The 15,089-nt window shown below is 41.6% G+C and overlaps 1 pseudogene across 1 annotated transcript; it reads left to right on the top strand.

Annotated features, from left to right (window-relative positions):
* The first annotated feature begins 5,638 nt into the window (after positions 1-5,638).
* CRSP8P (mediator complex subunit 27 pseudogene) lies at positions 5,639-7,000 on the top strand (annotated as a pseudogene). The gene has a single exon (NR_003665.1). The product of NR_003665.1 is annotated as a mediator complex subunit 27 pseudogene (transcript).
* The last annotated feature ends 8,089 nt before the right edge of the window (positions 7,001-15,089 follow it).

Raw genomic sequence — 15,089 nt, 5'->3', positions numbered from 1 at the left:
GCATGTATTTTTGTTCGCAGAAAATAAAAGCTGAAGAAAAAATTGTTTGTTGTAACATGTAACCAAAGCTGATACTCTTGTTATATATAAAGCTAATATATATAAACTGACAGGACTGGCTATATAATTTGTGGAGCCCCATAATTTCTGGAGCCCAGTGCAAAATGAAAGGTGGAAATTTTTGTCCTAAAATTGTTAACAATTCTAAGATGGCGACAGCAGAGCATTAAACCAAGTTCGAGGCCCTTGTAAGTGTGGGACCCAGTGTGAATACACAGGTACGGGCCCATGAAACTAGCTCTGAAAATTGATACGGAAAACACAAAGGCTTTAGTATACAATGGAAAAAGGATATGAAAAGACAATTTATAATACAGGAAGTTAAAATGATTAGTAAACATATAAAATGTTCAAACTCACCAGTTATCATAGAAATGCAAATTAAAATAACATGCCATTTCTTCCCTATCAAATTGAAAACAATATATTTTAAATGATAACACCTAATGTTGGCCTGGAGGGTAAAATGAGTATCCCATTCATTCCCAGGAGATTCTAAACTGAAATAATCCTTCTGAAAAATGATTTGATGCTATCAGGAGGTCTAAAACATTTTATAACCTTTGAGTAGTTCTTTTAGAAATTTAAGGAAATAACATGAAATAAACACAAAAATATATAAACAAAGATATTTTCACCAAAGTATTTGAAGCTGAACATTAAAAACATGCAATAGATTTTTTAATTTAAGCATTAAATATGTCTACTATAACTAAATAATTTTCACATTTATAACCCAGAAATTCCATTTCTACTTACCTACCCTGAAGAAGCATATATTAAAGGAAATTCATTGCAGCAATGTTGGAATAGGAAAATAATGGAAATAACTCAGGACAATGACTAAATAAACTCTGATATTTTCATACTGAGGACACTTCTACGTGGGAGTGGTGTTCGAAATTCTATTGATACCTATCTTTACACCTAAACACTTTAATATTTGAAAAAGGAGACATTTTATTTATGTATTGCATGCATAATTAAATTAAATTATATGTTTACGTTTTTAAAGATGGAGAAAATGCTTATAATGTGATGTAATGTGGGAAAAAAGCAGAGAACTCAATTGTGCATACACCATGATGTGGAATGTATAGAGAAACCTCTAGAAGGGTACAACCCAGAATGTTATCAGTAACTGGTTGCCTCTAGGTGGGAGGATTACGTTCGTTGTGTTTTGTTTATTCTTTGTGCTCTGTTTCTTTCATACTTTCCTTTTCTTTTTTTTAACCATAAGCATGTATTGTAACAAAACAACGACAAGGACAAAACTACTCTCTCTCACCCACCCCCCAAAACCCAGACTCTAATATATATGAATCTTCTGGATCCAAGTCGTTGAACCTGATCTTGAAGCATTAGAGATGCATGACTGAGCAAATATAGAGCAAAATATATTAAGCTGATGCATGTGATTTTTTTAATAAAAAAGAGATTACTGTAAGATTATTACATTTGTGAGCCTAGTTTCAAGTTAGACTAACATAAAACACCAACACATTTAATATCTAATCTGTAATAACCATAGAATTCATTCATGATTACATAAATAAACATAAGTAATATAACATTCTAGACATCTTTGAGGGTTTTTTTTTTTTCCAAAGAAAGGGAAGTGCAAAAGAACCTCTCAGTTTTCGACACCCTCCTAGTATGTTGGTCTAAATGATGAGAAAATATACCAGTGGAGAAATGGGTATTGCAAAAGCATGAAACTGTTAGCGGATGCAACAACTCTTGGGAATGAGACTTGGAAATAAGAGAGAGAAAGCGAGAGATTGAGAGAGAAGTTAGGATAATTAGGAGGCTCCTGAAGAAGAGGAGGGTCGGACAGAGATGGTAAGTCTAGTGTTTTCCAAATGACCCAGTGACTACCACATAAGGCCATTGTGAAGGTTTCATGGACTAATGAATGTCACATGCTTCCTATAGTAGGCACTCAGTAAGAGTTAACTATTATAACTTTTGATGTTTATACTTCTTATTGTGAATTAACACATAAGCATTCTTGCAGCTAAATTAGGCTCCTGTATTTTTGGTTAGGGTTCCTGTATGCCCTGGAACCCAGTCTCATGTGGATGATCTAATATACTGAATTTCCAAGACTATAAAATTGAGACAAGATGCTGAGACATATTGATGTTTTACTGGATTGCCACCCTGTACAGATCAAAATTTTGTAAAATGAGGAATGAAAAATGCATACCCTTTGATTCTTAAATTTAGTGCCAAAGAACTTCATGATAAGGATTTAATTCTGAAGTTGACCAAGAAAATTGCAATAATTTAGCAGACCCGTAGAAATGCAATGGTGTCTGTTTTGTATTTCGAATAAAACATGGAGAATATTGGAAGCAATCTTTGAAATGAATGTTATTTTAGCCAATTAATAACCTAGTAGTTGAGAAAGAGAAACGCAGCCCTTGACATCAGAAGCTGGCCTGGCACTGGCAGTTAGGCCACAGTGTTTTCCTGTGAAACACTAACAATTTCACCGAACATCAACATCATATAAAGTCACTCTGTGACCATGATGGATAAAGACAAAAATAAGGCCTCCCCATAATCATATCTGAATACAGACAAAGCATGAACATTGCCCAAGCCTCAAAATACCAAACATCTCCCTATCCTGGCAAATATTAATATAAGTGCCTGCTGCTTTTTTCCCAATTACACCTTTAGCATGGGTCTGGTCTTCCCTTCCCTTAGATAAAATATGGTAAGATACCTAATCATAGAATTGCCCCTACATCCTGAGAGTCTCCAATCAAGAGCAAACCCAGCTTCCTTGAACCCTTCAAAATCACCTAACATAAACCCAAATCCTAGAAAGTTTTTCTAACACCCCTGTGCTGCAATATCCCACAGTTCCCTGTGGCGCCTGTTCTCCCTCGCTGCAATGAGTAACAAACCCAATTTGTTTAACTGGCAGCATATTCCTAGTGGCTTTTGGCTAAGGGCATTGATACAGTCATATTTGAAATATATCTCCCAATTTTTAATAAGTAGTTCACTTTGGCTTTGACAAAACAGGCACAAAAAAGTGCATTCAGATTTCAGCATTTGCTCCCGGCATGGAAATAAAATGATATTCCTGTGCCAACTGAAACAGGCCCTTCTTCTAAGCTAGTTCACATAAACTGTAACCACAAACTATAAATATCTGATGGCAAGTTTATGAACAGAAATATTCCAAAAAATAGTGCTATGGTCTGAATGTTTGTGTTCCTTCCCCCACCCCCCAATTCATATGTTGAAACCTAATCCCCAGTGTGATAGTATTATGAGGTGGGGCCTTTGGGAGATGATTAGGTCATCAGGGCAGAGCTCTCATGGGATTAGTGCTCTTTATTTATTTATTTATTTATTTTTGAGACGGAGTCTCACTGTGTCGTCCAGGCTGGAGTGCAGTGGCGCGATCTCGGCTCACTGCAAGCTCCGCCTCCTGGGTTCACGCCATTCTCCTGCCTCAGCCTCCCAAGTAGCTGGGACTACAGGCGCCCGCCAGCACGCCCGGCTAATTTTTGTATTTTTAGTAAAGACGGCGTTTCACCATGTTAGCCAGTATGGTCTCGATCTCCTGAACTCATGATCCGCCCGCCTCGGCCTCCCAAAGTGCTGGGATTACCGATTAGTGCTCTTATAAAATCGGCCCACGGGAGCTTGCTCCTCCTTTCCACCACATGAAGGCACAGGAAGAAGGCACTGTCTATAAATTAGAAAGCTCTCCTCACCAGAATCTGCCAGTGCCTTGATCTTGGACTTCCCAGCCTCCAGATCTGTGAGAAATACATTTCTGTTGTTTGTAAGCTGCCCAGTTGATGGTATTTTTTTATGCCAGTCTAAACGTACTATGACAGACTGAGAGCACCTCCTACCCATTGATTATAGCCGTGAGTTTCATATGCAAAATTGCTCATACCAAGAGCCTACTCATTGTCTTTTTACAAACTCCTAATTGTTAACAATTTTGGTCTTTAGCTGTGATCCAAACCTACACATCACTAGTTCTTGGTGTTAAGACAGTTGTTTGTTAAGCAGGAAAACAGTCCCTCAAGAACAGACCATCAGCTGAGAGCCCATTGTCCTTTTGTACCCAATACTATTTTTTAGCAATTCTTCTTGTTAGAGCTGCTTTTTCAGTGCTCTAAGGACACTCATATTTGCAATGTCTATAGCGATACTCACTGAAGATCCTTGGGAAGAGTGACAGAATAATTCCTTATACATCCAACATTCCAAAGATGAAAACATCCAAATAACCACGTTTTCGAGAGTGACAGGGGTTGGGGTCAGTAAACAAGATAACATAAAATTAGCTAATTATTTTATTGAATTTCTAGTAGTAATATAGTTAGCATAAATTTATGTAAAATTTTTATACTTTCTAGGTCTTTAGTAAAATGTGGGACTATCTGTTGCTCAAGTCAACAACATCTATTGCTTACTGATTTAATTACATTGTCACTCTTGTTGATGATCCTGATGCAGTCACTGCAAAGTCCTGAAATGCCTTGTAAATTATATATATATATACATACATATATATAAAGATAGTGTGTATAACAGTAGAGGCAAGTTTTTAAAAATGTTTTACTCTTTTGAAAATTAATAATGCATATATATTATGTATTGTCAGTCATTCATATTCTAGATATTCTAGATAATGAAAACTTCCTCTAAATCCACTCTGACATTCAGTTGTAATCTCCTTTTTTTTTTTTTTTTTTTAAAAGACAGGGTCTTGCCCTGTTGCCCAGGCTGGAGTGCAGTGGCACAATCACAGCTCGCTGCAGCCTTCACTTCCCCAGCCCAAGTGATCCTCTTGCTTCAGCCTCCCAAGTAGCTGAGACTACAGGTGCACCACCACATCCAGCTAATTTTTGTATTTTTTGTAAAGATGGGGTCTCACTATGTTGCCCAAGCTGGTCTTGAACTCCTGGACTCAATCAATCCACCCACCTTGGCCACCCAAAGTGCTGGGATTACAGGCACGAGCCACCATGCCCTTCTGAAAAATGGCATTTTTTAACCTCTCTAGTCTCCTTTCATATCTCATAACCCAATTTAACCTAATGAGAAAACCAGCAGATGACGTCCCATAGTGGGACATCCCACAACATAACTGGCCAGTACTTCTCAAAACTTTCAAGTTTATCAAAAACATGGAAAATCTAAAAACAGTCATAGTCAGGATGATATAGTTTGGCTGTGTCCCCGCCCAAAATCTCATCTTAAATTATAATTCCCATCATCCCCATTTGTCAAGGGCAGGATCAGGTAGAGGTAACTGGCTCATGAGGGGGGTTTCCCCATGCTATTCTCGTGATAGAGGGTGAGTCTCACGAGATCTGATGGTTTTATAAGCATCTGGCATTTCCCCTACTTGCATTTCTTCCTGCTGCCTTGTGAAGAAGGTGCCATGTTTCCCCTTCACCTTCCACCATGATTGTAAGTTTCCTGAGGCCTCCCCAGCCGTGCTGAACTGTAAGTCAGTTACACCTCCTTCCTTTGTAAATTATCCAGTCTCTGGCAGGCCTTTACAGCAGTACGAAAATGGACTTGGCTGTGGCGGCGGCAACATGGCGGACGTGATAAATGTCAGTGTGAACCTGGAGGCCTTTTCCCAGGCCATTAGTGCCATCCAGGCGCTGCGCTCCAGCGTGAGCAGGTTGTTCGACTGCCTGAAGGATGGGATGCGGAACAAGGAGACGCTGGAGGGCCGGGAGAAGGCCTTCATTGCGCACTTCCAGGACAACTTACATTCGGTCAACCGGGACCTCAATGAGCTGGAACGTCTGAGCAATCTGGTAGGCAAGCCATCTGAGAACCATCCTCTTCATAACAGTGGGCTGTTAAGCCTGGATCCTGTGCAGGACAAAACTCCTCTCTATAGTCAACTCCTTCAAGCATATAAGTGGTCAAACAAGTTGCAGTACCATGCAGGACTAGCATCTGGCCTTTTAAATCAGTAGTCGTTGAAGCGTTCCGCTAATCAGATGGGAGTATCTGCCAAAAGTAGACCAAAGGCTCAGCCCACAACTCTTGTCCTACCACCTCAATATGTTGATGATGTGATCAGCCGCATTGACAGGATGTTTCCTGAAATGTCCATCCACTTATCCAGACCCAATGGAACATCAGCAATGCTTCTGGTGACCTTGGGAAAGGTGTTGAAAGTGATCGTCATCATGCGGAGCCTGTTCATTGATCGAACAATAGTAAAGGGATATAACGAGAATGTCTACACAGAAGATGGCAAGCTTGATATATGGTCCAAATCCAACTATCAAGTATTCCAGAAGGTGACAGACCACGCCACCACGGCCCTGCTCCACTATCAGCTGCCCCAGATGCCGGATGTCGTAGTCCGATCCTTCATGACCTGGTTAAGAAGTTACATAAAGCTGTTCCAGGCCCCATGCCAGCACTGCGGGAAGTTTCTGCAGGACGGCCTTCCCCCGACATGGAGGGATTTCCGAACCCTCGAAGCCTTCCATGACACCTGCCGGCAGTAAGCCCCCACGCTGGCCCCAGCGTGAGACCCCACCCGGCAACTTCCCAGACACTCAGGAAGCCCACAGAAGGCTCAGCTGGTTCCTCACTGCCCAGATGTGTACAGCCGCTCCTCCCTTTCAGCGCCATGTGTGCTGAGGCCACTCTTGAGGAGCAGACCCCCCCTGTGGCTGATGAGACTAATTATTCCCACTAGCCAGTGGACTGAAGGCAAAGAAGACTTTTCTAGAACCTGATAGAAGGAAGCTGTGCAGCATGCTCCTCGTCCGTGTGTGTCGGCAGTGCTGGTGTCTTGTCGTTTCCGCGAGCTATTACTAGAATGAGCCCTTGTGTTCATGGGTATCGTCATGCGGGGTTCTTGTGTTTTGTGGGGCTTGGGGTTTGGTAACTTATTTTTATAAGCAATAAACCTTTTGTACCCCGGAAAAAAAAAGAAAAGAAAAGAAAATGGACTTATACACAGGAGAAGCCTAAGGAGACATAACAACTAAAGGTAATGGGGGACTCTGGAACAGAAAAAGGATATTAAGTTAAAAACAAAGGAAATCTGAAGAAAGTATGAATGTTAGTTAATAATAAACAAACAAAAATTGTGGATTTTCACTCATATTACTTTGAAACATACTTATTTCAGAAGATGTAGTTAGAGTTACAAGTTATGGTCTGTTGCCACAGAACTGAATAACTCATTCTGCAGGTCATCAGAACCACGGCTATTTTTCTGTCTTATTCCTGTTCTGGCCAACAAAACTGGTCCTGGACCAGAAAAGAATTTTTAACAAGTATGCTTTCTTTTCAGAAAATAATTAGTTGTTTTCTTGAAATATAGTTGTTTTAAAAGAAACACATGCTACTTATTTTTTAAAAATACTGTCAAACCCAATGGTTAACTACAAATCTAGGAATTCTAGATCATGTGCTATTCTTCAGGGTATTTATTTCCTTGTTTAAAAATGTTTATTATAAAGTCGAGCAGGGTGGCTCACGCCTGTAATCCCAGAACTTTGGGAGGCTGAGGCAGGCAGATCGCCTGAGGTGAGGAATTTGAGACCAGCCTGACCAACATGATGAAACCCCAACTCTACTAAAAATACAAAAATTAGCCAGGCTTGGTGGCAGGCGCCTGTAATCCCAGCTACTCAGGAGGCTGAGGCAGGAGAATGGCTTGAACCCGGGAGGCAGAGGTTGCAGTGAGCCGAGATCGCGCCACTGCACTCCAGCCTGGGCCACAAGAGCGAGACTTCGTCTCAAAAACAAAACAAAACAAAAAACAAACAAAAAGTTTTTTATAGTAAGACCAATTAAAAAGCAATGAACATTGAGAGGTAAACTATAAATAGCTCAATCTTATATGCTCCTGGTATTTTCTCCATCCAAGTTATGTATAAGTGGGAAATGGCTTACTTATAAACAATATGATTTTACAACATGCTACTAGGTAATTTAAATTCTTAAAATCATCAACAAAATTTGATTGACATTCAAAATCGTGAAGCCGTTGACGATTCCTTAAGTCCACTCATTCAGTTAGAAACAAATGAGATCTTCTCCAGAATTCTTTTTTTTTTTTTTTTAGACGGAGTCTTGCTCTGTCGCCCAGGCTGGAGTGCAGTGGCGCGATCTCGGCTCACTGCCAGGCTCCGCCTCCCGAGTTCACGCCATTCTCCTGCCTCAGCCTCCTGAGTAGCTGGGACTGCAGGCGCCCACCACCATGCCCGGCTAATTTTTTGTATTTTTAGTAGAGACGGGGTTTCACCATCTTAGCCAGACTGGTCTCGATCTCCTGACCTCGTGAATCGCCCGCCTCAGACTCCCTAAGTGCTGGGACTACAGGCGTGAGCCACCGCGCTCGGCCTCCAGAATTCTTTTAGGAGTTATTTCTCAAGTTACATTAAGAGATTCCTTTTCATTTATATTTGATTTGGTACTACATCTGCTGTACAAATTTCTTCTTCATTTCAATTAACATATGAAATAATAGAAAATTTAATTGACCAAATCTCTTCCAAAGTCTCTGAAGTCTTTTCTCAGTATATGCAAGGAGAGAAATAATCAGTAATTCAAAATAATTGTCACAATGTTGTAATTCACCAAATCCTTCACTCCTCCAGAGCAAAAACATCTATTGCTTATCTTTCTGATTCTCACTGACTGTAATGTAGTGTCTTGCATACGACAAGTGCTCAAGAAGTAGTGAAGAAATAAATAATAATGTAAAGGGCAGTTTCACTTTGTGAAAGACATTTGAATTTTTGATAGCCTAGTTACTTTCCTTATATTAAAACTATTTATATTTCTTGACAAATACCAACTAATCGCAGAGGGTAATACCTTAGCTTGTTATAAAAGAAAAGCTAAACTGTGATAAAAAAATTTTTCTGTGGTTAATCCATAAAATACCCAAATCATACACAGGTAACCAAAAGTTGACTATGGTGTGATTACACTATGTAAAATAAAATAAATAGACAAAAAACTAGCATGAGTTATGTTATTAAATATTGCTATCTTTGAAAGATGGATATATTTTGGGGTTGACATTAATAGAATCTGGAATAAGGGGTAGCTATACTTTTAGATTTTAGGATCTATTACTTCAATATTATTACACAATGTCTCTGAGTCTCCCAAAATATTTTTCAAGTGACATGGTGCAAGAGCATTATTTCCTCATTATGCTTCTCTAAAACATGTTTTTCCTTCATAAGTAAATGACCTTATACTTATTCCTATTATAACTCTTCAGGTAAATATATATTGCATTAATTTCCATGCACATATGTAATTTTCCAGGGTCATTTTGAATTCTAATTCAGTTCCCCAGGATATCAGAGATCCCTCCTAATTCCGTTTTTTTTTTTTTTTTTTTTTTTTTTGAGACAGAGTTTTGCTCCTGTTGCCCAGGCTGGAGTGCAATGGCGTGATCTTGGCTCACTGCAACTTCCACCTCCCAGTTCAAGCAATTCTCCTGCCTCAACCTTATGCGTAGCTGGGATTACAGCCACCCGCCACCACGCCTGGCTAATTTTTGTATTTTTAGCAGAGACGGGGTTTCACCATGTTGCCCAGGTTGGTCTCGAACTCCTGACCTCAGGTGATCCACCCGCCTCGGCCTCCCAAAGTGCTGGGATTACAGGCATGAGCCACCACGCTCAGTCTGAGATTCCTCCTAATTCTGTATCTTTAACATGCCTAAGCATTTTCACAATTCTTCATCAAAATACCTAATACATGCAATAATCACAAGTAGCATCCATTGACATAATCTCAATTCAAAAACAGTGATGATAATTATGCCACAAATAGACAATGCAGTTAAATTCAAATCCAAGTAAGGTCTAGTTATGATTCTGTTAGGTTCCTTTTTTTTTTTTTTTTCCTTTCGCTGACACAAAGTGCTCAATAGAAAAACTTTTTCAGGCTAGGCACAGTGGCTTACGCCTGTAATCCCAGCACTTTGGGAGGCCGAGGCAGGTGGATCGCCTGAGGTCAGGAGTTTGAGACCAGCCTGGCCAACACAGTGAAACCCCGCCTCTACTAAAAATACAAAAATTAGCCAGGTGTGGTGGCAGACGCCTGTAGTCCCAGCTACTTGGGAGGCAGAGGCAGGAGAATTGCTTGAACCCAGGAGGTGGAGGTTTCAGTGAGCTGAGATCATGACACTGTACTCCAGCCTGGGCTACAAAGCAAGACTCCGCCTTAAAAATAAAAAAAAAATTGAAAAACTTTTTCAAAAATAAAAGTTTGGCCAGGCATGGTGGCTCACTTCTATAATCTCAGCATTTTGAAAGGCTAAAGAGGGAGAACTGCTTGAGGCCAGGAGTTTGAGACCAGCCTGGGCAATATAGTGAGATCCCATATCTATAAACATTTTTAAATTAGCTGGGCATGATGGTGCTTGCCTGTAGTCCCAGCTACTCAGGAGACTCAGGTGGGAGGATTGCTTGAGCCGAGGAGTTTGAGGCAGCAGTGAATTTGGATTGCACCACTGCACTCCAGCCTGGGAGACAGAGTGAGACCCTGTCTCTTAAAAAAAAAAAAAAAAAAAAAAAAAAAAAAAAGGCCGGGCGCAGTGGCTCACGCCTGTAATCCCAGCACTTTGGGAGGCCGAGGCGGGCGGATCACCTGAGGTCAGGAGTTTGAGACCAGCCTGGCCAATATGGCGAAACCCCCTCTCAACTAAAAATACAAAAAAATTAGCCGGGCATGGTGGCAGGCGCCTGTAGTCCCAGCTACTGGGGAGCCTGAGGCAGCAGAATCGCTTGAACCCAGGAGGCAGAGGTTGCAGTGAGCCGAGATCGCGCCACTGCACTCCAGCCCGGGCGACAGAGCAAGACTCAGTCTCAAGAAAAAAAAGTAAGTTTGTTTTTGCATCTGAACCAAATGCTTGACAGCTCTATACCAGGAAATTCACACTAGGACTCAAAATGACACAGATACTTCCAGGCTTAGAAGAGATCTATAGAGAGAACAGCTAACTGTTGGTGGCCTAATTCTTTTACCACTTACCACTTACACTGAAGCCAGAAACAGATGTGAACAATAAGTTATTCTTTTCTTTAACAAAGATATTTTTGAAAGAGAAGGATGAAAAATATGACTAAGATATTTTTTGAGTTATATGAACAAACTGGGTGAGTTATTTTTAAAAATCAACTGGAGGTAGTATATCATGTGTTCATCCCAAGACTAAGAAGCATGACCCAAGAATAAGAGATAGAGTTTGTAGCTTCTTTCAGGCCTGGAAAGGCAACAGGAAACTATAGGGGCCACCTGGTGGCAGAGGACCAGAGAACGTGGGCATGTTCTAAAGTCAATGGGGAAGATCAGGTGAAAATTGTCCTTGAAGCTGCTTGCAGCCTCAGTGCCCATCAGACAGCAGCTCTGCAGAGCCAATGAAGCGACCACCTAGGACAGAGGGCCAGCCCTACCCCCCTATTTTCTGAGACCTAGGAGCCCAGAATTCTTGTGTAATTCCATTGAGGTAAAGAAGGAGCCCCTAACTAACTGAGGCTGACTTTGTCCCTCAGTTTCACCTCAAAGCTGATTAAGTTTGATTTAGGGAAATAAGGCTCTGTGGCTTTTTGCCTCCTACTGTTTAGCACCCACTAAATATGGTTTTGGTTTTTGGGGTTTTTTTTTTGAAGACAGCATCTCCCAGACTAGAATGCAATGGCACAACCAGGGCTCACTGCAGCCTCAACTTTCTGGGCTCAAGTGATCCTCCGCCTCAGCCTTCCTAGTACCTAGGACTACAGGTGTGTGCCACCACGCTCGGCAAAATTGTTTTAAAAAAATTTTAGTAGAGATGGCGTTGCACCGTGTTTCCCAGGCTGGTCTTGAACTCCTGGACTCAAGTGATCCTTCCACCTTGGACTTCCAAGGTTCTGGGATTACAGGCCACTGCAACAAGCCACTAAATATGGTTTTAAATTTCTCAATAAAGAAAAACGGAATAGAGTAGGAATACTGCTTGCTCTCTGTATAAGCATTCTCAACTACCTTGATTAGTATTTTCTCTTCCTGGAGTGTGGTGATCAGTAAATCTTAAATTTATTTCTTCAGATCAAAAGTAGACTGTAATGGGCACAAGATGTGTTTTTTCCCTGTCTACTGTTTAATCTAGTTTTTTGTTTGTTTGTTTGTTTTTTGACGAAGTCTTGCTCTGTGACCCAGGCTGGAGTGCAATTGTGCAATCTGGGCTCACTGCAACCTCCGCCTCCCGGGTTCAAGCCATTGTCCTGGCTCAGCCTCCTGAGTAGCTGGGGTTATAGGTGCCCGCCACCACACCCGGCTGATTTTGTATTTTTAGTATAGACAGGGTTTCACCAAGTTGGCCAAGCTGGTTTCAAACCCCTGACCTCAGGTGATCTGCCTGCCTCGGCCTCCCAAAATGCTGGCATTACAGGTGTGAGCCACCGCACCCTGCCAATTGTATTTTTAGTAGAGACGGGGTTTCACCATGTTGGCCAGGCTGGTCTTGAACACCTGACCTTAAGTGATCTGCCCACTTCAGCCTCCCAAGTTGTGGAGATTACAGGTGTACACACACAGACACACACACAATGACAGTTAAACAGTTAAAGAAAAGTATGCACTAAATGGAAAAAGGGACTCTTTATGTGTCTGCTTCCCCATTAAGGTCTTACAGGGTGCTTGCAGTGGTTCCAGTTTACAAAGGGACTAAGCTTATGTAGGACTTTATTCTCTCTGTGGCGTTTTCTCTCTCTTTATGACCATTTCTATCCAGTGTCCTTTTAAGGTCAAGGGCTCCTAAACAAGCTCTCTGGCCTTTGTTAGCTTGATGACAGTAAGTTTCCTCATATGCTTTTTTCCAAAATGGAATTTTCATCCTTTTAATCTGTTTTTGCAGTTTTGTTGATGGCCTATATCCCTATTGAGTTCCTTTCTGAGCTTTTCTTGTTGCCTCTATATTTGAAACTGGAGACATTGAAACATCTCTTGGAATAAGAATAACACTATTATGCCAGGTGCAGTGGTGCACGCCTGTAGTCCCAGCTACTCTGGAGGCTGAGGGAGGAGTGCCTGAGGCCAGGAGTTTAAGGCTGCAGCAAGCTATGACCGCACCTGTGAATAAACACTGCACTTCAGCCTAGGCAACATAGTGAGACCCCCATCTCTAAAAAGTACAAAACAAAAAAAGAATAACTCTATTAAATTTTGTATATATAGACTCAGTGGGCTCTGTGGCTATTCAGATCCAGAAAAAGGACTGTCTTTAGATCAACAAGTTTTGAAAGTAGAGAAAGGATATTCAGTCACTCCTAAAAACACTGGTGGTGATCACATTGTCATTTGTGTAACTTTGCCCATAAAGCTGAAAGCAAAGACCCTTCCTTTGACCATGTTAAGACAGAAAAAGAAGATGGCTATCTACAAGACTAGGAGGGAAGCCTCTGAAGAAACTAACCCTGATAACACCTTGATCTCAGGTGTCTGGCCTCCAGAATTGTGCGAAAATAAATTTCTGTTTTGTTTTTTTTGACGGAGTCTCGCTCTGTTGCCCAGGCTGGAGTACAATGGCGTGATCTCGGCTCACTGCAACCTCCGCCTCCCAGGTTCAAGCAATTCTCCCACCTCAGCCTCCTGAGTAGCTGGGATTACAGGCATCCACCACTAGGCCCAGCTAATTTTTGTATTTTCAGCAGAGGCAGGGTTTCGCCATGTTGGCCAGGCTGGTGTTGAACTCCTGACCTCAGGTGATCCACCTGCCTCGGCCTCCCAAAGTGCTGGGATTACAGGCGTTAGCCACCATGCCTGGCCAAATTTCTGTTGTTTTTTTTTTTTTAAAAAAGACAATTCCTTAACTCCCCATTCTTTCTCTTTCTCTTCTTAGGAAAGACCTCATTTACTGCCTGTATTTCCCCACCTTGACCAAAGCTGTCATCCAGTTAGGATTTCAGCCAGTTACTCCATTAAACTGCTTTTAACTGCTCTTGGTAATGTCACAATGACCTCCAACTTCTAAATTCAGTGGATATTTTCCGTTCTCATCTTATGTGGTCTCTCAGCATTTGATAAACCTGACCACTCATTCCTCCTTGAAACAGTCTCTCTCTTTGATTCACCTGGAAGCTTCTTCAAGTCTCCCTTGAACTCTTCCACTTTTATCAGATTATTTCATTTTGGAGGTCCTCAAAGCTCTCTGAATTCTCCTTTCATGATGTCACACTAGTCTAAATGATTGCGTCCACTACCATGGTTTAATGACCACTTACATGTTGATGACTCACAAAGTCATATCCTTAGGCCAGGCTCTGCTTCTGATCTCAGGATCACATATTCAGCTGGTTGCTGGACAATGTCAAGAGCTACGAATGGCCTGAGATTTTACCTTAGTTTTAAGTTAACTAATTAACCTGACACAATTTTATAAGCTCTGCCAGAAGACATGAGACTCTTGAGTCAAAAACAAACAGCGGGCCAGGCACAGTGGCTCACGCCTGTAGTCCCAGCATTTTGGGAGGCCGAGGCGGGCGGATCACCTGAGGTCAGGAGTTCGAGACCAGCCTGGCCAACATGGCGAAACCCCATCTCTACTAAAAATACAAAAATTAGCCGGGCGTGTTGGTACACGCCTGTAATCTCAGCTACTCAGGAGGCTGAGGAAGGAGAATCACTTGAACCCAGGAGGTGGAGGTTGCAGTGAGCCAAGGTCATACCACTGCACTCCAGCCTGTGTAACGGGAGCAAGACTCCCTCTTAAAAAACAACAAAAACAAAGCAAGCAAACAAAGGGCTTTGTTATTCACAGAAGAGGAAGCATGAGCCTCATGTTTGCATCTGTGCATTTACCACCAAGACTCCACAGTGGCGACAGAAAGTTGGGCTCAGGTAGATGCTGCACAGTCTGTGGGTTTGTCTCATAGCTAAGGAACCCTGAACTTACCTGAACTTAGGAAGTCTCAATCTTTTTTTTTCTTTCTTTTTTTTTTTGAGACAGAGTCTCAACCCTGTCACCCAGGCTGGAGTGCAGTGGCATGATC

The sequence above is a fragment of the Homo sapiens genome, chromosome 5 (genome assembly GCF_000001405.40).
Source record: "Homo sapiens chromosome 5, GRCh38.p14 Primary Assembly".
Lineage (NCBI taxonomy): Eukaryota > Metazoa > Chordata > Mammalia > Primates > Hominidae > Homo > Homo sapiens.
This window is presented reverse-complemented; position numbering and strand designations above follow the sequence as displayed.